We start from the raw sequence: 25,555 nt of genomic DNA, 5'->3' as shown, positions 1-25,555 counted from the left end.
AGCTGTCCTCTCAACTCAGCCTCTCAAGTAGCTGGGACTGCAGGCATGCACCACCATGCTGGGCTAATTTTTTTTTTTTTAATTTTTTCTAGAGACAGAGTCTCACTTAGTTGCCCAGGCTGGTCTCAAACTCCTGGGATTTAGAAATCCTCTTGCCTTGATGTCCCAAAGTGCTGGGATTACAGGTGTGAGCCACTATGCCTGGCCTCTAATTTTAAAATGTTGCCACTTCAAGAATGTTATATAAAAGAATGAAACTATATAATATTTTGATATTGTATTGTTTTCACTTAGCACAATTTCCTTCAAATTCATCCAAGTCATATATATGAATCATTCTTTTTTATTACTGAGTAATATTCCATTGCATGGATTTACCATCGTTTAAACATTTACCTGTTGAATGACATTTGGGTTGTTCCTAGTTATTAGCAATTATGGATAAAGTTGTTATGAATATCTGTGTGCAGGCTTTCATGTGAATATAAGTTTTATTTTCTTTTGGATAAATGTTCAAGAGTGCAATTGCTGTGGTATATAGTAAGTGAATGGTTAGTTTCGTAAGAAAGTGCCATAATCCTTTCCAGAGTGGTTTTACCACTTTACATTCCCACCAGCAATGCATGAATGATCCCGTTTTCTCCATAATTACCAGCATTTATTGTTATCATATATTTTTTAAAAAATTGAGCCAATTTGAAATGTATGTAGTAGTATCTCATTGTGGTTTTAATTTGCATTTCTCTATTAGTTAGTGATGTTCAACATCTTTTCATGTGTTTTCTGATATCGTTTTCATTAAAATGTCTTTGCTCATTTTGTAACTGGATTGATTGCTAATTTTCTTCCTTTTTTTTTGAGTTTCGAGAGTTGTTTATATATTCTAGCTACAAGTCCTCTGCGGATATGTTCCTAACAAATATATTTTCCCAGTATGAAGCTTTCTTTTCATAATCTTCAGTGTCTTTCACAATACATTTAATAATGTTGAGTAAATCTAGTATTTGGTAACTAAAATACTATGCCACTTTTTCAAATAAGTTAGCACATAAATTATTTAAAATATGGAGAAAGTGTTTATTGTATAGCATTTAAAAATTGACCCCAAAATTTTAAAAATTAATTTTCTAAAACACAGGGATATATGAAATTGATTTTGGTAGTTATCAAAACTAAAATTTTGTCTCTGTCTTTTGATAGGTTCTGTTGCCACTGCGTGTCGTGACCCAGGGGTCCCCATGAATGGGACTCGAAATGGGGATGGAAGAGAACCTGGGGACACTGTTGTTTTTCAATGTGACCCAGGATATGAACTTCAAGGAGAGGAAAGAATAACCTGCATTCAGGTAGAAAATCGGTACTTCTGGCAGCCCAGCCCACCAGTCTGTATAGGTATGAATTAAAGAACAATTAAAATTTTATATAAACATAAAACAATGGTTAAAAACTGGTATTGTTCTTAAGAACCATATTCTAGACTAGATTCTATATGAGAGTCTAAGATTTCAGAGGATTATTAACCTCCGCAGAATGTACAAAATTGTAAAATGATTATTATTTTTCCATGGGGTAAAGGCTGATGATTTCATTAATTTTTTCAATGCTTCTAAGATTCTAAAACAGTTATGAATCAAAGCTCTTGGAAAATTATATCACCCTTTATTTACTATGTAGCCATAGTTATCCATTGCTTAAAGAGTGGATTCAGACCCCATATTAAAATGGGTCATATTGATCTTGTCTCTAAAATGGTTATTTCATTTAAGAAAGAAAATATTGTCAGAACCTATGTCAGAATTTCCAAGCTTTGTCTTTCTATTTAATTCATGTAATCCAAAGGAATATTGGTTTTTATTTGGAAGATCTAAGAAGCTGTAGCGCCTGGATCATACTTCCAGCTGTCTTTTGTCTCCGTGCTCTGTTATTGAATCTCCAAGTTAGACTCTAGAAAATTAAAACAAATTATGATTTGGTCTGAGAAAGACTTAGAGGAATGTCCCGCTTTTGGAATAAAAATAGTTAGAAAATATGCTATATCATTAAACTAGTTTAATCTTAAACTTTTTTGTTCTGTTCAGGTGCTTTAGTATTTGTGTCATCTTGAATTTACGACACATTTTGAACAAACTATGTTTTCTCTACTGAAAATTTTATTTATTTACATACTCTCTCTTACCACACTGTAAGCAACTTGGGAGAAGATTCCATAACTTGTTCATCATTGTGTTTCTTATAGCATTTGGTACATGCAAATGTATCAAGTTTTAGAGGGAGAATCTTATTTTTGTTCACTTACACCTAACCCATAAACTTCACAGTGACTTATTTTGAAAGTCCCATGGAAATAGGAAAAGAGTGTTAGTTCTTCAGTTAGAAGTGAACAAACTCAATCAATTATTCAGATTTATTTTACCCCATCTTGTAACTCCCACACAAAATTACAAAATCAAATTCATTAGTCATTAACTGTGTCTCAGGCACTGTTCTAAACAGTGGGAAATTAGCAATAAAACAAGACAGAAAAGTACTCTGTTCCTATGAACTTACTTTGCAGTGAAATAATAAAAAAAAAAGTTTTACAACACATTTTCTCTATTTTATAAAGTTGGATTTAAGAAAACACTAAATGCACCAAACAACATAAAAAGGCCCAAACCAGCCAGGCAGTAGACGGACAGTTCTAGATCTCTGCTGTAAAAAATAAGACAAATGACAAAGAAGTAAATTTATTAGAGACCCTTTTATAAAGCATGAAATAATGGCATCACTTGAACAGTTCAGATTTAGCTGTATCTCCCATTACACTATTTCTATTCACACCCATATTGTTCTTCATGTACCACTGCAAGATTCTAAATCAACAAACATCAATTAATTTACATTTACTGTAAGTGCACTCATACGATCCGGGGAAACAACTGTTAAGAAATGTTTGCAAAGAAAGAGATTGAAATAATGTTTCGTATCTGTTTCAAAATTTTCAAGTTTGTTTACTACTCAATTAACCAAAAAATTTTCAACTAAATTAAAACTTCTTATTCTAATTAATTGGAATTTGACCACATATCTCATGAAGAGCATATTTATGTAAAGAATAAATTATAAAACACCAAAATCTTACTGTAGAACTTCTTGCTTTATTGTGATTCTTAGATTTGGCTAAAGGATGTTGCTTATTAGAATTACCAGAAGGGCCAACTGATGACAATTGTTTTTACATAAAATCCTAAAATATTAAATGGCTTATACAAAAATTCTAGATAACACTAAAATCCAAGGTGCAAAAGATGAAAAACTTCTGAGATCTGCTATTACAAATTTCCATTTTTAGACAAGAATATGCTTTAGCTAGCAAGTCCTATTCTAGAAAAAAAAAAGCTGAGTACTAAGTCTTACTTAAGTTAAGCAGGTTGTGTGAGGTTTTTCTATAGATAATGATACTGTGTATTATTTTTGGTAGGAAAAGATAGCTTGAGGGGAAGATATAAATTAGAGCTTCTCTGGGGAAGAAAATAACCTTAAAAAAAAAGTCTGAAAAATTGCTAAGGCTGCAGAATGCTTGACCTCTAAAACTGATAAGAAAGAACTTCATGATTGGAAATACCATGCCAAAGATTAAACCCTGAACTTCTTAGAAACTCCATAATTCTATGTCTAAGACCCCGAAGCATAAAGCGTTTTGCTTGCTTGCATATAGAAACAGTCAGTCTTATAGCAAGTACCAAACAGAAGGACGTCATCTTTAAGAGAGTTAATAAAATTCATTCCAACAAAATTGACAGCGTGTAAATTACTTTGACATTGCCCCCGGGAAAGTAGAAGCATTCAATATGAAGGTAAATAGGAAAGACATTAATGTGAGTGGGCTTTTGAGATAGAAAGAAGACACAAATAAAATTGAATTTGAGAAACAAATTAAGAAGATTTTAAAATAGTTATCAATAGTTGATGCCCATATAACTGCCTCAGAAAACACTGCATTCAGAGCAAATTACTGAAAACTTAATTCATGAATCCCTGACTTATATTTTGAATGCTTTATGGTTAGATGGGCAAAAATAGAGATGCATTTCTAAATGCTATTTAAAGTTGAGTATATTTAAAGATAATTTTCTTTACTCACTAAGAGTTTGGGATTTACAAACGTCAGATAATGTCTCTGCTTTTCTTGTTGGCTTTCGTAGGTTTTCAAAATCAACCACAGCATTGAAATATATTGAGAAATCTTTGATAAATAATTTAAATAGATGCACACCTGTGTTCCCAGCTACTCAGGAGGCTAAGATGGGAGGATTGCTTGAGCCCAGGAGTTTGAGATGAGACTGGGCAACATAGTAAGACCTTGTCTCTAGAAGAAAAACAATAATTTAAGTAATAGAATAAAAATCATTTTAGAGAATCTTATATCTAAATAATAGATACTTTACTATATGTAATAAATTTTCTTAAATATTTTGTGATAAGGAATATACATATATAACATCTACATGTATGTATGCATCTCTATACTGTTTCTAACAATAAAAAAGACCAATGTTCCTTCTAAAAAATAAGGACAATTGAAACAAAATTACTCCCCTACCCTCTCCAAAATTACACATAATCCAAGTGGAAAAAAATCACAAAGAACATTTTGCTATCATTCTGGTCTTTTTTGCATATATACATACATATAAGCATACCTCATTTTATTACAGTTCACTTTATTGCATGCCACAGATATTACGTTTTTTTACAAATTGAAGGTTTTTGTCAACCCTGTGCCAAGCAAGTCCTAATAGACTTTTTTTCCAATGGCATCTGCTCACTTCATGTCCCTGTATTATATTTTGGTAATTCTCACAATATTTCAAACTTTTTCATTGCTATTTTGTTGTTATTGTGATCTGTGATCAGTGATCTTTTATGTTACTATTGTAATTGTTTTGGGGTGCCACAAACAAATGCCCATGTAGGACAGTGAACTTAACCAATAAATATGTGTTTTGAGTGCTCCCCTAACTGACTGTTCCTCCATGTCTCTCTCTTTCCTTGGGCCTACCTATTCTCTGATACACAGTATTAAAATTAGACCAATGGCCTCTGAGCATTCAAGTGAAAGGAAGAGTTGCACATCTGTCACTGTAAATTAAAAGCTTGAAATGATGAAGCTTAGTGAGGAAGGCCAGTTGAAAGCCCAAATAGGCTGATAGCTAGGCCTCTTGCACCAAATAGTTACCCATGTTCTGAATGCAAAAGTAAAATTCTTGACAGAAATTGAAAATTCTACTCTAGTGAACACAGGAATGATAAGAAAACAAAACAGCTTTGTTGCAGATATGAAGCAAATCAGTGGTCTGAATAGAAGATCAAACCAGCCACAACATTCCCATAAGCCAAAACCTAATCCAAAGGAAGGCCCTAACTCTTTAATTCTATAAAGACATAGATGGGTGAAAAAGCTGCAGAAGAAAACTTTGAAGCTTGCATAGGTTGATTTGTAAGGTTTAAGGAAAGAAGCTATCTCTGTAACATTAAAGTGGAACGTGAATATGTAGGTACTGAAGGAGAAGCTGCAGCCAGTTACCCAGAAGATCTAGCTAAGATCACTGATGAAAGTGGCTACATTAAAAACAGTTTTCAATGTAGATGAAACAGCATTCTATTCGAATAGTGTCATCTAGAACTTTCATTGCTAGAGAGGAGAAATCAATGTCTGGCTTCAAAGCTTCAAAGGACAGGCTGACTCTCTTATAGGGGCTAATGCAGCTGGTGACTTTAAAATAAAACCAGTGCTCATTTACCATTCTGAAAATCTTAGGCCTGTTAAGAATTATACCTGTGATCTATAAATGGAACAATTAAGCTTGGATAACGGCACATCTGTTTACACTATGGTTTACTGAATATTTTAAGCCCATTGTTGAGACCTACTGTTCAGAAAAAAAGATGATTTTCAAAATATCACTGCTCGTTGAAAATGTACCCATTGCTTGTTCAACTGCTTGTTGAAAATGTACAAATGAGCTTTTGTTCACCCAAAAGCTCTAATGGAGATATGCAAAGAGATTAATGTTTTTATGCCAATAACACAACATCCATTTTGCAGCCCATGGATCAAGGAGTAATTTTGAATTTTAAAGTGGCATTATTTAAGAAATATATTTTACAATACTATAGCTGCCAAAGACAGTGATTTATCTGATGCATCTGAGCAAAGTAAATTGAAAACCTTCTGGAAAGAATTTACAATTTTAGATGCCATTAAGAACATTTGTGATTCATGAGAGGCAGAAGAAATATCAATATTATCAGGAGTTTGGCAGAAGTTGATTCTAACCCTCATGGATGACTGTGATGAGGGGGTGTTTAAGACTTCAGTGGAAGAAGAAACTGCAGATGTGGTAGAAGTAGCAGGAGAACTAGAATCATAAGTGGAGCCTGAATATGGGACAGGATTGCTACAATCTCATGATAAAACTTGAACGAATGAGGAGTTGCTTCTTATGGATGGGAAAAGAAAGTGATTTGTTGAGATGGAATCCACTTCTGGTAAAGATGCTGTGAACATTGTTGAAATGACAACAAAGAACTTCAAATATTACATAACTTAGTTGATAAAAGCAGAGGCAGAATTTGAGAGGAGTGTCTCCAAGAAGTTCTACTGTGGGTAAATGCAATCAAATAGCATCACATGCTACGCGGAAATCCAGTACTACGGCAGACTTCTTTATTATCTTATTTTACGAAAATGCCACCCCGGGCGTGGTGGCTCACGTCTGTAATCCCAGCACTTTGGGAGGCCGAGACGAGCGGATCACAAGGTCAGGAAATCGAGACCATCCTGGCTAACACGGTGAAACCCCGTCTCTACTAAAAATACAACAAAATTAGCCAGGCATGGTGGCAGGCGCCTGTAGTCCCAGCTACTCAGGAGGCTGAGGAAGGAGAATGGCGTGAACCCGGGAGACGGAGCTTGCAGTCAGCTGAGATCTCGCCACTGCACTCCAGCCTAGGCAACAGAGCGAGACTCCATCTCAAAAAAAAAAAAAAAAAAAAAAAGAAAAGAAAATGCCACAGCTACCCCAGATTTCAACAACCACCACCCTGATCAGTTAGCAGCCATCAACATCTAGGCAAGACCCTCCTCCACTAGCAAAAGGATCATGACTCACTGAAGACTCAGATGACCATTAGCATTTTTTTAGCAATAAAGTATTTTTAATTACGTTAGGTACATTTTTTAGACACAATGCTGTTATGCACTTAATAGACTACAAGATAGTGTAAACATAACTTTTATATGGACTTGGAAACCAAAAAGGTTTTGTGACTCACTTTATTGCTATATTTGGTTTATTGTGGGGGTCTGAAACTGAAACTGCAATATCCCTAACGTATGCCTGTATACGCATTTGCTATTATACTTTTTTTCATATTCACATATTATTTTCAGAGCCCCAAAGGTAAAATATGTTGCTATTTTTATTAAAACACATAGCTACAAATTAGATTGTGCATCCATCTCTACAGTCATCTTCACTATTTACATAATCAAATATAAAGAACCACTAGCAATTCAACAAACGTTATGAAATATATAGTATGCACTGAATTCTAGGAATAAATAAAATATAGACAGAGTGTCTAGCTTACATATTAGTGATGAGTGCTGACACCTGAATGGAATATTAAATAAAATACAGTCAATACAGTCAAAGAAATGACCGAGATGGGCAGAGGTTACTATGGATACCAGAGGGTTAATATTACATATTAGTAATGAATACTGACACCTGAGTGGAATATTAAAAACAAATACAATAAGAGAAGCAACAGAGATTGGCAGAGGTTACTATGGATACCATAATGGTTTAGAGAGAGATGAAGTAGTGCCCATTCTGGGGTCTACAGGAAAACTTCCTGGAGGCAGTGATGAATCTAAAAACATAAGTTAGAGTTATATAAATGTAGAAGGGAAACAGGCATTTCAGGAAGAAGAAACAAAATGAGTAAAGTCATGGAAGAACAAGGAAATATAAGCAGTATGATAATATTTGAGTATAATTTATGTGTATACACTGATGGTTGATGAAACTGGAAAGACTGTATGGGTCAGATCATGAAGGCTGTATGGGAATTGGGACATTATATTTTAGACAATGTGAAACAGTTGCAGAATTTTATGCATATACATAGTACGATTAGATGTTTTCACTGAGGAAAAAAATGGGGAATAATCGTTTCAATTATCAATTGTAATAATTCGAGAAAGAGAGGAGTTAGACCTATTGGTAGTAGGCAAGAAAAGAAGGACCGGTTGAAAATAGCTACAGGGTGGAGTCCTGGCAGGGCTTCTTGATAGATTGGATATAAGGATGCAGTGAAAAAAAGAGAAGACTCTTAGGCCTCTAGCTTGGGACTACAGGTGGATGGTATGCTCATCTAACAATTTAGGAACCTAGGAAAAGAAGCCAATTTAATTTGAGGTTGAGTATTTAGGCTATTCTATATTTGATGTACCAATAGACTACAGAGAGAGATATTCAGTAAACACTCTGGCATATGGTTTAGAGTTCAGCCAAGAAATCTGTAGGAGGAGATAGGGAAAGGTGTTATCAGGGTATAAAAATTAGAAGATAAAAATCATAAGTTTACATATGGTCAACAAGGAAAAATGTACCAGTAGAAATTAAGAGAACCATGTAAGGAACTTAGGAGATCACCAAAGTTATAAGGAGATGTAAAGGAAGAAGTGTATGATAATAAGACTGAAGTCTGTATAAAGACACTAGAAGAAAACCCCAGAAACACTGGCTTCTAAGATTCCAGAAACTAGGATGGTGAATTTAAGATAAAGATCAACAATTAAGAATGACTACAGATATGAAGAGAAAGATAAAGGCAGCAAAGTCTTCATTATTATTATAAATGCAGAAGTCACTTAAGTATAAGCTAAGAAATGTTTGTATTGGGAGCTAGCTAAGAAATGTTTGTATTGGGGCAATGGTTGAGAAGAGAATGAGAGGTAGAAAGGACCATATAAAGACATCTAGAGGCCAAGCATGGTGGCTCACACCTGTAATCCCAGCACTTTGGGAGGCTTGAGGTGGGCCCATCACTTGAGCTCAGGAGTTCAAGACCAGCCTGGGCAACATGGCAAAACTCTGTCTCTCCAAAAATACAAAGATTAGCTGCATGTGGCAGCACACCTCTGTAGTCCCAGTTACTGGGGAGGCTGAGGTGGGAGGATCACCTGAGCCTGGGAGGTCAAGGCTGCAGTGAGCTGTGGTCGTGCCACTGCACTCCAGCAGCCTGGGCCACAGAGTGAGACCCTGTATCGAAAAAAAAAAAAAAAAAGACATCTAATCTAGACTCTCTAAGTAATAGAAAGGTTATTGTGTCTCTCTAAATGTAATTTAAAATAAAAATAACTTTAAACCTTACGATAATTTTTGTCATGTTGAATACTTTGGCACTTTTCTTTGAGAAACAACATAAGAAACATTTTCCTCCTTTAGTTTTCTGCTTTGTTGGACTTGTTAGTCATCTTAATCTGTCCCATAGGTACATACAGCACAGGGGTGCAGAAAGAGACAGTGAGAGTAGATGTCCCCTTCAAAAAGCTTAGTTATGCCAAATTAAAAAAAAAATCAGAATTTAGTAAGAAGAGACTTTGATTCAGACAGGATTATTGCAAGGAGCAGGGAAGGGACTATTGCAACAGGGAATACTAAGGCTGTAAGATCTGCACCTATCTCAGGAGTTAGATGAAAAGGCTTTTTTTTCTTTTTTTAGAGAAGGCTAAACAAAGCTAGAGAGAACCAGGTACGAAGTCAGAGGAAAGGGCAGCCTGATTGAATAGTAGATGAGAGAATGTTGTGCTCTGAATCCAACCTATTCTCCGGAAATATCCTGTGCTGTCTTAAAGCTGAGAGTGGGACAAAGTTCAGGAGCCTAGAATAAGGAGGGAAACGTAATCAAAGTTTGTTTCACAAGAATTTTATTCAGATTAATCAGTGAGCCAAGCAGTTCAGCTAGAAGCAAAGAATCGGAACTGGTAGGGTCTGTGTCTGGTCTTGCCATAAACAAGAGGGTGACAAAGACAGCTTATCTAGGTCATGATAAGTGAGTCTTATCTAAGTTATATGGGGCAGGGTGTTTCCTTATAGTAAACAATTTTCTGTTAAAAAAAGTGAAAGTAAGTAGGTCATAGGGAAGTTTGTTTTATTTTTAAGATGAAAGAAACCTGAGCGTGTTTGTGGACAAAGTGGAGAAAGCCAGGAAAAGTAAGGGAGACAAATAATTGAACAAGTGTTTTGGATAAGGGAGAGGGATTATGTGACCAGGTTGACGGTGATATCTTGATTAGGAGGGACTCTATCCTGGGATTGTAAAGAGAAATATTCAGGAGGCATTTAAGCTTGGAGATGGAGGACTACAGAACATCGAAGCAGTTTATGTCTAATCATTTTATAATGTACCACAAAAACATATAAGCGACAGGAAAGTAGTGGTGAATATATTAAGTCTGAGCAACTAGATATTCTCAATGCAGTAAGAGCTGAGACAATTTTCTGAGAGTGACTCAGGTACTGAGACAAGAGTAGCAGAGGTGCATGGAGGAAGGCAGTACCAGACAAAAGACAATGGAAAAATTACCAAACCGTAGTGATGATATTACATATCTCAACTCATGCAAGGAACAGAAATGCTGAAATGTTGCCAGAATCAAAATTCTCTTCCTTACAAAACCAGTTTTATAGGACAAAAAAATTTAATTTCCCTTATAACTGAATGCTCATATTTATCTCAGAAAACTACAATTTCGAAACCAAGGTGAGAGAAGAATGCCGATGTACTGATTATGTGTAGGAGACATTGTGAGAATGTGAGAATCCTAATCTTAATGTCCCTCACTTGGGTGTGTGTATTTATTTGTATTTCCCACTCTCCCATCCCACCACGAAGACCTCCATATCTTTCTTCATTTCTCTATTTTTTTGAAGATGTCAATTTCTGTGTAATGTATAATTTCTTGAACACAAGCTCTGTTTAGCAAACTTCAACAGTAATCCCCTAAAGAATCTATTCTCTGAGTTTCACTGACAATTTTTTGAAGCTCTCCATTTAAGTGTTATGGAAACCTTTGTTTGAAACTGTAATAACTGTACTAAATAAAGGTGCCAGGAGAGACATGAAAATAAGCTATATGTCTCATGTCTTATTTTTCTATTTATTATTAGAGGTTTTGTTTTGCTTTGATCTGATTTTTTCTGGTAACCAGAGGAAAATCATCTTTATCACTTTTTTAATGCTTTTCTTTTGACATGAAACAAAATAATAATAGAAAGACAGAAAAGTATATATGCATTCTTTTTGGTCTCTTAAAGCCAATAAAGCAGCTAAATTTTATGTATCCATGTATGTATGCATGTATTCAATATTTTAATGGTCTTTCTTGAAACATAATGCTGTATCCAAGCATCAAGTACTATAAAATTCAGGTCTGTACAAAGCCTCATAAGCTCTTTTAGAGACGTGATTTCAAAAATATTGATAGCTAATAAATTGTATTAATGTTTAAAGAGATTTTATTTGTTTGTTTAAATTAAAGCACCCTGTGGAGGCAATTTAACAGGATCTTCAGGCTTTATTCTTTCACCAAACTTCCCTCATCCATATCCGCATAGCAGAGACTGTGACTGGACTATCACCGTCAATGCAGACTATGTTATCTCCTTGGCGTTCATCAGGTGAGTTCTTATATATTTATTTCCACGTTAAAAAAATATATTGTTAGGCCATTTTGCTTTAGCATTTGTACTAGACTAATTCCTATTTCTGTATATAGCATTTTTTGTTATTTTTTACTTATCCCAGTGCTAATAGTTGTTCTAGCTTTGCCACTGTCATTTGTGTTACCTTGGGCAAGTTATTTATTTGAGTGAGCCTCCATTTTCCCGCATGAAGCTAACAGCTGGCATCACAAAACCCAGCCTCTTTCCCTGAAGATTTCATTGGAAGTGTTAGGTAATAGCAACTCAGTGATTTTCCAAGTAGAAAAGTCCCCAATCTTTATTATCTAAGGTTGATGTAATCAGTTATGTTGACTCTAGTAGCACAATTCCTTTTTCTGCCACCAGTATGTTAAAGCTCCTTAGTTTTTATGTGAAATGTTAAGCTTAAATATACAATATTTTCTAACGTACTGAGGCCAGTTTGTTTTTCCTAAGTAAAGATAATTTGAACTCATAAAAATTTAGCATAATTGTAAATAAATAAAATTTTATTTTTGTGATTTGTAGTGGTACATTGCTAATTAGTAATACCAAAGCAACAACAATGATAATTTTAGTTTTATGCCAGGATCCTGTTGTAAGACAAATTCCCAAGCTAAGTACTATTACTATCCCCATTTTCTCAATTGAGGAAACATCAATACGGACATTAGAAATATCAAAATGGATGATACAGGGCTTAGTTTACATATAAAATTATTCTAGTTGATAACTTGAGGGTAGAAGGACATATTACATGAAGTGCATGACCTAAATTTGATTTCTAGCTCTATCATTTATTATGTGACCTTAGGTAGACCACTGATTTTAAAGAGCCTTAACATACACATTGGTAAAATGAAAAGCATAATCTCTTCCTTATACAACAGGACTATTGGCAAGATGAGTTAATATTTATTAAAGTACCTTGTAAAACATAAGGTAATATTAGCATGCACTGTTTTTTCAGTTTTTCAGAAAAAAAACGTAATAACTAAGACTCTAAAATTTCCTTAGAAGGAATATTTTTGTTTTAATTTCATTTTCAAAGAAGTTACAATACTTGAAGTATTGATTTAGTCCCAAACTATAAATTAAAAAGAAATGTACTGTGTTCCATTGTTAAATAAGCTTTCAGCCTTCCGTGCATAATAAATACTACTGTGTCATTTACAAAGCTCTTGTTTCTAGTGATTCTCCCAACAGATATAGAAAAGGAAGTTGTAATTACCATCAAAGTTTAATGTTGGAAGAGATGAAATTCAGAAGTTGTGTTTTATCTCAGAACAAGGGTAATAAGTAATGAAATAAAGTTTAATCTTCTGACTTCTGCTATATTATTATACCAACAGTTACCAAATACAGGCCTCAGATCCACTGAAAAATTTCAGGATAAGTTAATTGAACTAAGTGTTGAAGCTACTGAATAAATTAAAACAAAATATAATAGTGTGATGGTCTCCCAATTTTCTCACGTTAGAGGGGCCCATATATAAGAAAAGTCTGGGAACCTCTGCACTATCCCATTCTTTCTTTACCACTGCTTATGCACAAGTAAACTGAGCAGCTGGACTCTTCTTTCTTGTACATGCATATGTAAAGGATGAGATTGTGGAACGTTAACTTCTATAAATTCTTTGGGTTCGGAAATAATGCCTTTCACGTAACAAATCTATTGCTTAGATGCAGGCAAATATGATAAAACTTGCCAAAATAGTTTTTCTACTGATGAATGTTTAACAATGGCAAGTTTTACTGGTTTCATTTTATATCATAAACTGGTTGACTTTTCTTGCTGACCTAAATGAATCTATCCTTTACCCCATATTTCTCTACCACAGTATGAGTTAGGAAAAACAGAAATTGATTGCATGTCCCCTGTCTTCTAAATGTATGAGTTCCATGATCATTGTGGGACAATTGTTATACTTTTGAAGGTTGTTAAGGCAAGTTTATTATGCAAATCTTGCAATATTAACACAACTGATTTGAATCATTTACATGCTAAAATATCCTTTTTCACATTACCTAATTCTGATAATGTATTGGTTTGATATCTCCTACATTAGGTTTTAAAAGAAGAAAATATATTTACTTTCAGGAAAAAGAATGCCTAATACAATGTGCAAAGCTTCATTTGAGTTATTTAAATGTAAATAATATATTTCAACTTTTGATTTCAGCTTTTGTCCATATCTGATTGTAGAGTTAAATTTTTAGGAGTACTATTGATGAAGAAAAAAGTAGTTTGTGTTTTCATGATGCAAAATATATGGATGAAAAAGTTTTAAAAATACATATTATCCTCCACATAAAGTAACTTGCATAAGAATATGTCACTAATAAGGGCAGAAACAAGGCTTGAACTTGCATTCTCTGACTCCAAATCCTGTATCTTTTCATCAACTAAACTCTTTGTCTTACAATCACTTATATTTCCTCTGCATACAATGTCAACTTAAAAAATATGTAAAAATATCAAGTTTTTTTCTTTTTCCCCTGCTTATTTGATATTTATATTAAATATGTTGTTGCCAGGTGATTTTTTATATTAGCTTATTTTGACAGCGTCTTTTATTATTTTTAAGCACTGAATTAATGTTTGATTATATAACTATTATGGTTAACAGCCTAATAATAATTATCCTACTTCTCTTTCTTTCTTTTGTTCTTTCCTTTTTTTTTTCAGTTTTAGCATAGAACCAAACTATGACTTCCTCTATATCTATGATGGACCAGACAGTAATAGCCCACTGATTGGAAGTTTTCAAGACAGCAAGTTACCAGAGAGAATAGAAAGCAGCTCAAATACAATGCATTTGGCTTTTCGGAGTGATGGATCTGTTAGTTACACTGGATTTCATCTAGAATACAAAGGTAAATATGAACATTCCATGTTAGTATCATGATTTAAATTATAGATATTTTATACAGGAGAATAATTTGGTATGGCCCATTGTTAGTGGTTAGTTTTATGTGTATTTTTAAATGCAGATTATGTACAGTTCATCTCATAAAAGCGTTCTCACTGTAGAATTTTCTTATTAGTGGGAAGGAAATTAGCATTTCTCTAATTACTACCAAAGGAAAGGTATCAGGCAAACAAATTAACAATTAGTATATTGGAGGAGTTGGCTGGAGCCACACAACATTAAAAAATAAAAAATACAAAAAAAGCCTCATTTTGTAGAAGCTGAAGTTTCAGTCAAATACCTTAATTTGATGAACACTTTCAGTGATAAAGGGAACAACGTAGACGATAACTGTATTTCAGAAAATATGTAAGCTGGGTGCCATCAGTCATGCCTGTAATCCTAGCACTTTGGGAGGCCAAGGCAGGAGGATTACTTGAGCCCAGAAATTTGAGACCAGCCTAAGAAACATAGTGAGAGCAGATTTCTACATTGTTTTGTTTTAATTAGTCAAGAGGGGTGTCATACGTCTGTAGTCCCAGCTACTCAAGAAGCTGAGGCAGGAGGATCACTTGAGCCCAGGAGATGAAGGCTGCAGTGAGATATGATCATGCCACTGCAGGCCAGCCTGGGAGAGCAAGACCGTGTCTCTAAGAAAATGTCTACAGATATTTAAATATGTCAATATTCATAATAAAGAGAAGAAATATAGTTATAATGTTTTAGAATACTTCTGCTAGTGTTTAAATGAATTATGTTAGAATGCCTGTGGATATTTATAAATATATTTTTCTAAAATTTTATAGTTTATGTCTATAGGAACAGATTTAGATTTAGGTTGTGTAAAATTTAAATTTATTTTTCAATTACTGAGTCCATGAATGGCATACTAATAATTCACCTCAAGTTATCAACTGATTTCTGAAAACACATGCTTTGATTTGTTACCACCTTTTGTTTAATATTTTCAATAATGGAAAATTATATAGAGTAATGAACTCCAAAGCATCCATCAGCCAACTTGACAAAAATTAACACTGTGCTATATTTGCTTCAGATCTCTTTATTCTTACTTTAAAAAATCAAATATTACATATACAATGGAAACTCCTTTTGCATTTGCCATAGGAACAGGGGTTAGTCTCTTCAGGGCTATCGTAAGAGGTCACGATAAATTTCACAACACATGATATGGGTAAGAAAGATGTTTTTAGGGAAATGAAACTCACAAGTCAGTAAGAAACAGAGGCTTGGAGTCCTCCGATATCTCTGTCATCACTTGGAACTGTATGCCAGGGCAAGGGTATCTGCTGGACATTAACAGTATAGTTTTCATTCCAGTGGAAAGCTTGATCCCTCCGTAAGTCTCTCATTTCACAAGAAAAAGCAGGAAAATGGCCTTGTTAGTAGGAAAATATACTGGCCATTTGGCACAGACAGTGAGGTTTGGGGTGTTGGCTGTTTATTGGGGTTTTCTGCAAATGCTACCTGCTCTGTATCAGAAGATGCTTGGGGGAAGTTTAGACCTTGGGAATATGGGTTCGAAACTCTTTTAGAGAGAGTGAGCTTGACCACAACACCACTCTAACCACCTGGTAGATAATTCCCTTACCATTTGTGGGGACCTGGCTAGCTGGCCATGTAGGCAAACCATAATGAGCATTCAAGGTCATTTTTCAGATATTCCTGCTCTTTTCATGCTAGTATTCCCCTAATCCTGAAGTTGATACTTATCTTTTCCATGTATTTATGCTTGCACATATTTTTATATTTCTTATTTTCATACAAATTTTGTATTTTTATTATGTATGTATCCTTCTGAAAATTGATTTGGCCCCTTAAATTGTTTTTGAGATTTATCAAAATTAGAAACATATAGCTTTAATTTATTAAGTCCTTTATGATACTCCACCATATGGCTATATCAAAGTTAATATATAAATTTTTCTGCTGATAGACATTTAGGTTGTTCTGGTTTATTACTACCAGAAATGAATGACGATGAAATGAACATTCTTTTACATGTCCTCATGAACATATCTGTGAGATTCTTTTTAGGACATCTGTATACCAAAGAGTGGGATTACTGGGTCAAAGGGTATGAACCTCTTCAATGTAACTCTGTATTGCCGAATTATTCTCTAAAGAGGCTGTACCAATGTAAACTCAAAAATCAGAGGATGAGAGCTTCAGAAATTCCAGTTTTTAAAAACCAGTGCTTTTGTTAAACTTGGAAGTTGCTAATTGTATTAAATGATATCTCATTGTCATTTTTATTGCCTTTTCCCTTATTACTATTAAGTTGAGCATCTTTTTCCTATTTTGCATACTGAGATTTTCTTTCTTTTTTTTTTTTTTTCCTTGAGATGGAATCTTGCTCTGTCACTCAGGCCGGAGTGCAGCGGTGATCTCAGCTCACTGCAACCTCCGCCTCCCGAGTTCATTCAATTATTATTAATTGTTTTAACTATGGTCCCGAGTTTTAACTATGGTGTATATTGCCACTGAATTATTACTCTATATTACAAAAATATATCTATGTTGTCTGAGGTAAATGCCCAGGGTTTGTCATTTGGCGCCAAGAAGATTAAGGACAGGGACAAACATGAAGAGTGAGTTTAGGGGCAGAGGTTTAACAGGCAAAAAAAAAAGACAAAGGAGGACAGCTCTCTCTGTTTCGTAAGAGAGGGGCATCCAAAAGGGGAAAGCCAGCCCACTGTTGACTGCGTCAGATTTTATAGGCAGGCTTGAGGAAGCGGTGTCTGAGTTACATAGGGCCCACAGACTGGTTTGACCAGGTATGACATTTACATAGTGTGCGGGGAAGGCTGGTCACCCCACCCTAATCTTATGCAAAAGGAGGCTTTGCCTGGCAGGGGCTATATTGTCTTCTCCTTACTGTACTCATGGTTTGGCAAACAGAAGGGCAGATGAAGCCCCCATTTTGGACATGCCTAGTCCCAGGTAGCCTTTTCCTATGGGCACAACTGTGGGCATTCACCTGTGCAAGCTTCTGGCTTGCTTGGCTATGTCTGCAGCTCCATTTTGCAGGCTGCTCTTTGTTAGAAAAGAAAGTGATATGATGGCTCCTTTTCATTAAAAGGAAAACCTTACTATCTGCCTAAGTGATTTCTTATTAACTCCTGTATCATTATCATTGATTTAGTACCATCTGATTGGGCTATAATTTTTAGTCCTTGTACTCTTTTTGTCTGGTTTTGATATCAAGATTACACTACCTGCCTAAATTTAGGAGCATTCTTAATTTTCTAGTATCGAGAATAGTTTGTATAAGATAGGATCATCTATTTCTTGAATGTTTTCTAGAACTGAAACTATGGACCCAGTGATTTAAGGTGGTGGAATTTTAATGGTTGTAAATATATTTAGATTAGCTTTTTTATCTTAGATTTTAAAAAATCTTTTTCTAAAAACTAGTTCCTTTCATTCATGATTTCACACATATTGACATGAAAATATTCACAGTGTTTCTTACTTTATTTGCTGCTGCATATTTTTGTTAACACTGTTTAATATTTTTATTAGTATTGCTTTTATCTATGTTATTTCCTCTGTTTTATTTTCTCTAGATTTGCTTATCCTTTTTCTCATTTCTTGAGATAAATACTGCTTTTGTTTTTTTTTGGAGACAGAGTATCGCTGTGTTGCCCAGACTGGGGTGCAGTGGTGCGATCCCGGTTCACCGCAACCTTTGCATCCCGGATTCAAGCAATTCTCGTCCCTCAGCCCCCTGAGTAGTTGGGATTACAGGCATGAGCCACCATGCCTGGCTAATTTTTGTATCTTTAGTAGAGACGGGGTTTCACCATGTTGACCAGGCTGGTCTCAAACTCCTGACCTCATGATCCGGCCCTCCTCAAGAGCTGGGATTACAGGCGTAAGCCACCACGCCTGGCCAATACTGCTTATTAATTCGCATTTTTTCTCTTGGATCTACACATTTTCATTTAAGAACCTCTTAAGCTGCTATGCAAACATTTTGATATGTACAGATTTATCATAATTTTATTCTAAATTGGTTCTAAGTATAGCATTATGATTTTTCTTTGCTGAAGTGCTACTTAAAAGTATTTCAAACTATCAAAATAAAATTTAAATCTATAACTTATTATATTATAAATTTCTAATTTACTTGCATGATCAGATATGTATGATTCTGGTTCTTTGGCTTGTCATAGGATTTGTTTTGTGGTCTATTATATCGTTAATATTTATGTTCCTTGTGTACTAGGAGAGAAATTTGTATCATCTAATGAGTGCAAGTTTTTATATACATCCAATAAACTCCCTAATTATATTGTTAAATATTCATCTTCTCACCATTTTTTGACCTGCTCGGTCTAGCAATTATTGAAATAGTTGGGTAAAATCTACTATTCTTAATTTGCCATTTTTCTTAAAATCTTTACCACTTTGTTTATATATTATGAAAGCCTGCTTTCAGGTGCATATAAGTTGCATTTTTTTCTGGTTTTTTGATACCTTGGATTTAGTATATTTATACTTATTAGCCTTTTTCTTTTATTTTTTGCTTCATATTTGTTTTGCTTTTTCTGTATTCCTAATTTCAAAATCTTCCACTTGCTACCTAATAATGTCAATATCTGATACTTCCTTGCTTATTTATTTTTAAGTTTACTTACCATGTGCATCCCCCTCACTCCAGTAGCCCCCTACACATATTCTAAAATACAAGTTTCTTAAGAGGAAAGCCTTTATCTGTTCATTCACCACTATACACTAAGTGCCAAGAATAGTGCCTACACACAGTAATTATTCAGTTTGCTACTTGATTGCTTTTGAGCATCGTAAAGAGGTGTTTTCTGTTTTAAAATCAAGTCATAATTCAAATATTAGAATAATAACATTCTTTAAATGTGAGAAACCTTGGAGCTGATTCCTGTTCTAAATTTTATACATGAGAACTTGGCTTAGAAATAGCTACTTATACCTGCAAGCTGAAAGGCTTATACATATGACCTGTTTAAAAAAGAAAGAAAAGAAAGAAAGAAGAAAGAAAGAAAGAAACCTTTTAACAAATCTGTAGAGATAAAGTGAGGTTCTACTGTAAATTAGTATTAATAAAACATTTCCAAATATCACTACGATAAAAGTTGCAGCAAGAGTATCTCACTAGCAATCCAATGGTAGATGGTACTAACTGATTATGGCTTTATTTCTCATGGAAACTGGTCAGGACCTTATAATGCTTTCTCTAGGTAACACACCATGTAGCCCTTACTAAAGCCTAGTAGTTAAGCAATTGAGATAAAACCTATTTGCCATTATCTCAGCTGAATATATGTCCCTCCCTATTTCCCCAGCTTAATCAATTTCAATGTTTTCATCATTTCCAAAAACTTAAGATTCATGCTGTCATAGATAAAGAACTACAAATGTAATTTTTTAAAAAGAGATGTTGTTTACTATGCACTTACTCTACTCTAGATTCAATGATTAGACCTCATGAGTAGGTATGGGAAGGACAGAGATAATGCATGTATAAATGCAATAAAAACATTACAGAACAGCATTGTAAGTATTGCTATCCCCATTTTACAAAGCAAAAAATTGAAAATCGAATTGTTAAAATGATTTACACAAGACTACATAAGTTATTATTACATTGAGAATAAAGGCAAAGAAAAATATAAGTATAGGTAGAGAGAAATACATAATTATCCCATTAACTACATCCTTCTTCCCCACCCACTGTCTTCACCTATTATACCAGTACACATTTAGACACAATTCCACCAGGTCTTATTTTTATACTCCAGATGATATTTCTTTACAATAATGTTCTCGAGATCCAATCTCATTAATTTTCTACCTGGTCCTCAAACCCCCGCTGTTTATGGGAAAATTTCATTGCCCACTTCAGGGTCTTCAGGGTCTGTCTTATCAGCTTCCTTATTTCCTATTCTTATTTTGGTAAATGTTTCCTCTGTAATTGTCCAGTTTCTTAAGGCTAACAATGCTTGTAATGATGTTTATAATGATCATTGTAAAACAAACATCTCATTATTTTCAATATAAAAATATGCACACCCAAATGAATGGACATATAAATTGAGGCCCTAGATAGTAAAAATATTTTTCTTTGTCTTTTGTAACATATATCACAAATGTTGACTTAAGCATGTTGGTTTCTATAGCACTTAAAAAGTAAAGTTATTAGTGGTCTTTTTCCTTTTTAAAATTTTTAATTTTTACAGGTTCATAGTAGGTATATATATATATATATATATATTTATGGAGTACATGAGATATTTTGATACAGGTGCACAATGTGTCATAATCATTATCAGGGTAAATGGGGTATCCATCACATCAAGCATTTATCATTTATTTATGTTACAAACATTCCAATTATACGCTTTTAGTTACTTTTAAAGATACAGTAAATTATTGTTAACTGTAGTCACCCTGTTATGCTATCAAAGACTAGATCCCTATTCATTCTATCTAACTTTGTTTTCATACCATTAACTGTCCCCACTTCCCACCCCTTACTCTTCCCAGCCTCTGGTAAGCATCATTCTACTCTCTATCTCTACAAGTTCAATTGTTTCAATTTTTATCTCCCACAAATAAGTAAAAACACGAAAAGTTTTCCTTTGTTATTTTTAATTTTTGTGGGTACATAGTAGGTATATACATTTAGGGAGTATGTGAGATATTTTGATACAGGTATACAATGTGTAATAACTGACACGAGGGTAAACGGGGTTTCCATAATATCAAGCATTTATCCTTTGTGTTACAAACAATCAAACTATACTCTTTTAGTTATTTTTAAATGTACAATTAAATTATTATTGACTATAGTTGCCCTGTTGTGCTATCAAATACTGGATCTTATTCATTCTTTTTAATTATTTTTTTGTACCAATTAACTATCCCCACTTTCCCCCCAACACCTCTACTACCCTTCCCAGCCTCTGGTAACCATCCTTCTACCCTCTAACTCCATGAGTTCAATTGCTTTTAATTTTTAGCTCCCACAAATAAGTAAGAAAATGCAAAATTTGTCTTTCTGTGCCTGACTTATTTTACTTAGGTCCTCCAGTTCCATCCATGTTGTTGCAAATATTTCATTCTTTTTTATGGCTGAATAGTACTTCATTGTATATATGTGCCACTTTTTTTTATGCATTTGTCTGTTGTGGACACTTTAGGTTGCTTCCAAATCTTGACTATTCTGAATAGTACTACAATAAATGTGAGAGTGCAGATATCTCTTCGATATACTGATTTCTTTCTTTTGGATATATACTAGCAGTGGGATTGCTGGATCATATGGTAGTTCTATATTTAGTTTTTTGAGGAACCTCTACACTGTTGATACTGTTCTCCATAGTGGCTGTACTAATTTACATCCCCCTCAACTGTATATGAGGTTTGTCTTTTCTCCTCATTCTCACCAGTATTTGTTATTGCCTTTAATTAAAAATTAAGACGTGGCTGGACGTGGTAGCTCACGCCTATATTTCCAGCACTTTGGGAGGCCGAGGCGGGTGGATCATGAGGTCAGGAGATCAAGACCATCCTGGCTAACCTGGTGACACCCCGTCTCTACTAAAAATACAAAAAATTGGCCGGGCGTGGTGGCGGGCTCCTGTAGTCCCAGCTACTCGGGAGGCTGAGGCAGGAGAACGGTGTGAACCGGAGAGGCGGAGCTTGCAGTGAGCCGAGATCGCACCACTACACTCCAGCCTGGGCTACAAAAAAAATTAAGACGTAAGCTTTATTGTGTATGTTCACTTCTAGCTCTAATAAAACATATATAGTATAAATATATATATATACATATACATCTATTTATATTCAGCAGAAATAATTTTAAAAGAAAACTAAAATATTTTAGATGCAGCGATCTAAAATATATCTTCTGATATATCTTATTTGGAGACTGTAAGGAGGCAAAATACTCTTTTACCTAGTATCTGTTCAGTAGGCAAATCACTATTAAGCAGAAAAAATTAATTATGCATAAAAATAATGCTGATAACTTGTCTGCCTCATAATTTTTATTCAGAAACTAAAATCACTTTCCAGCTACTGCCTAGACATTTTTTTAAGTATTCTCCAGGTGTTTTCAAAATTTCCAGGTGTAATTGCTATGGCATATGTGGATATAAATAAAGACAGTATTATTCATAGAAAACTATTCACCAAGGATTTAAAGCAGTATGTAAACATAATAATAACATAAGGGCATTCTCTCAAATTGAGGCTAGCAATGTAAAATTGTTGCAGAGGCATTATTTTTAAATTTGTCAAACATGTGTCCCTTTCCTCAAAAAACCGGATGCTTGCATTACAGTTTCACTGACATTATATTGAAACATTGAGGAAAACTTCAAAGAAGGAGAAAGCAAACTTTTCAAAAGATGAATATTAGGAGAATAGACTTGTCAACGAGATTAATCCTTTTAAACAGAAATTTAAATCCTTCCTCTACCCTCCAGGGACTTAGTTTAATTTTACGAAGCCCAGCTATAAATGCCAGGTTTCTGTTCTGTCTAAAAATTACATTGCGTTTTCCTGCTTGTTTAAGGGAAGGTACAATGTAAAGTTTTATTTTTTATAAATAAACAAATCAACCCTTGCATCACTAAATGCCCATTCTTAGTGACCAAATTAAGTAGTTACCCTGCTGGTTCTTTCATAAAAAGAGTTGTGTGAATATTTTATGTGAAAGAAATATATTCCATGGTTTGGGACAAAATTTTTACAGAGCAGCTTGAGTATAATATATGGAGTGCAAATTTTGTGTAAGTGTATCCATGTGTGTGTGTATATGTGTGCTTGGGAGAAGATCAAGTCATTTAGCTCTGGTTTGAAACCCAGGAATCACATTTATCTATTTGCACATGTCAGCACACCTCCTCCCCAACAGGTTTCCCATCGCCTTTTTACCTAATCTGTTCCTTATTCTCTCAATGCTCACTTTAGATACCACTTTTTAGTGAGGTTCCTGAATGCTTCTCTTTATACAGCATGCCAAAATCGCAAGTCTTTATTTAATATAATTGCTTTCTTTAAGAGACTGTAATTTCCGTGAGTGCCAGAACATTTTCTGATTGTCCACTGCTACATTTCCAGAGTTAGCAGGGTAGTGAGCCTTTAAGTACTTGTAGAGAGAAAGAAAGAAAAGAAAGAAAGAAAGAAAGAAAGAAAGAAAGAAAGAAAGAAAGAAAGAAAGAAAGAAAGAAAGAAAGAAAGAAAGAAAGGAGAGAAAGAAACAAAAGAAAAGAAAGAGAAAGGAGAGAAAGAAACAAAAGAAAACAAAGAAAGAAAGAGAGAAAGAAAGAAAAGAAAAGAAAAGAAAAAGAAAATAGTAGGGTCGTGAGCCTTTAAGTATTTGTAGAAAGAAAGAACGAAAGAACAAAAGAAAGGAAGAAAGAAAGGAGAGAGTAAAAGAAAGAAAGAAAGTGAGAGAGAGAGGAAGGAAGGAAGGAAAGAAGGGAGGCAACCTTCCTCATTTATCTGTTATTCTATTAAAATTATTTAAATGTGTGGTTCTACCACTTCCTCTTTAGTTGAATTGGGAGAAATTATATATAGTGTTCTTCTTAAAGCACAGATTTCTCATTATTTCTTAAAAATGCTAAAGTACATTAAACTCCTTGCAAACTTTTATGAATGAAAGAAACATATTCTTACTGGTATAGTTAATTATATTTTGATATAAAAATATGTTTGTAGTAGCCAAACACCAAGATATCGTTGACTTACATTTCAAAGATTCCATGACTCATATTCAGAGATATACCCACTGTCTGATTTCTTATTAGCACAAAACAAATTCTGATGTAGAAAATCACTACATTTGTTATCCTGATTTATTGTAATGGCCTTTACGTTGTACATTTCTTTATTATTTCTTAAGTAATCAATAATTACAAAATGGAAATAATCTCAAGGCCTCATCCAGATCTGTTAACAACAAAGTGTTCTAGTACCTTTGCCATAAAATGAATGAGCTAATCTTTCCATTTCTCTACATATTTTCAAATTATTCTGTCAGTCTCTTTGTTCAATATCTGGGTACAATGAAAACAATTCCTCTGCTCTGAAAGGATTTTATTTTTTAATCTGTCTGTTACCTCTAGTTTTGAAAGTGTTTTGCATAGGGATAGAAAATCTGTCAAAAAATACTGTGGTTTGGATTTTGCTATTTTACAATGGGAGACCTATGATAAAAATGTGGAGAATGACTGGAGAAAATAGGGTAAGAAAAATGGTTGCAGGGCAGACAAATAGGGCCTTTTATTTTGCTGTAGGTGGTGAAATGAACTGAGCTCAACATAGGAAGAAAAACCACTTCTAGGTTCAGTAACATGGCATTACTTGTGGGGAGATCTTTTAAATAAAGACGTTTTATAAGGGCTCCTTCTTTTTTTCCAAAGTAATTCATTTATAGTACCTACACATGGATTATTAGCACATAATATTTATAATAAATTCTAAAACCCTATGTTTGACTATATGCATTGGATACTAAATTTAATGAGAAGATCTATGAAGATCTTTAGAATTTATTTATTATCTTACTAATAAATATGCATTAGCAATTTGTCAGATATGCACAAGGGCTCCTTTGTACTTTGAGCCCCCCCAAAAAGACAGAAATGATGCTGCTGCTTTTCCTTCTGGGTTAGAAAAAGAAATGAACATGTCTTAAAGGTCCATAAAAAACAGTCAGCTGTCCCTTGGTATCCCTGGGTAACTGGTTCCAAACCTTCTGATACTAACATTCACAGATGTGAATATATAACTTATATACATCCTCCCACATACATTAAATCATTCTAGATTACTAATAATACAGGATATGATGTAAATGCTAGGTAA

At 34.2% G+C, this 25,555-nt stretch overlaps 1 protein-coding gene across 10 annotated transcripts in view; it reads left to right on the top strand.

The window, feature by feature from the left end:
* The window catches only part of CSMD3 (CUB and Sushi multiple domains 3), a 1,214,012-nt gene that overhangs the window by 918,514 nt on the left and 269,943 nt on the right, over positions 1 to 25,555 (top strand). For all 10 annotated transcript variants that reach the window (NM_001363185.1, XM_017013010.2, NM_052900.3 and 7 more), the window contains 3 exons: positions 1,201 to 1,392; positions 11,597 to 11,735; positions 14,449 to 14,636. In NM_001363185.1, coding sequence (NP_001350114.1) covers positions 1,201 to 1,392; positions 11,597 to 11,735; positions 14,449 to 14,636 — 519 coding nt within the window. The remainder of the gene's footprint in view (positions 1 to 1,200; positions 1,393 to 11,596; positions 11,736 to 14,448; positions 14,637 to 25,555) is intronic.

Source organism: Homo sapiens, chromosome 8 (assembly GCF_000001405.40).
Source record: "Homo sapiens chromosome 8, GRCh38.p14 Primary Assembly".
Classification (NCBI taxonomy): Eukaryota; Metazoa; Chordata; class Mammalia; order Primates; family Hominidae; genus Homo; species Homo sapiens.
The sequence above is the reverse complement of the archived record's forward strand: the minus strand, read 5'-3'. Positions and strand labels throughout refer to the sequence as shown.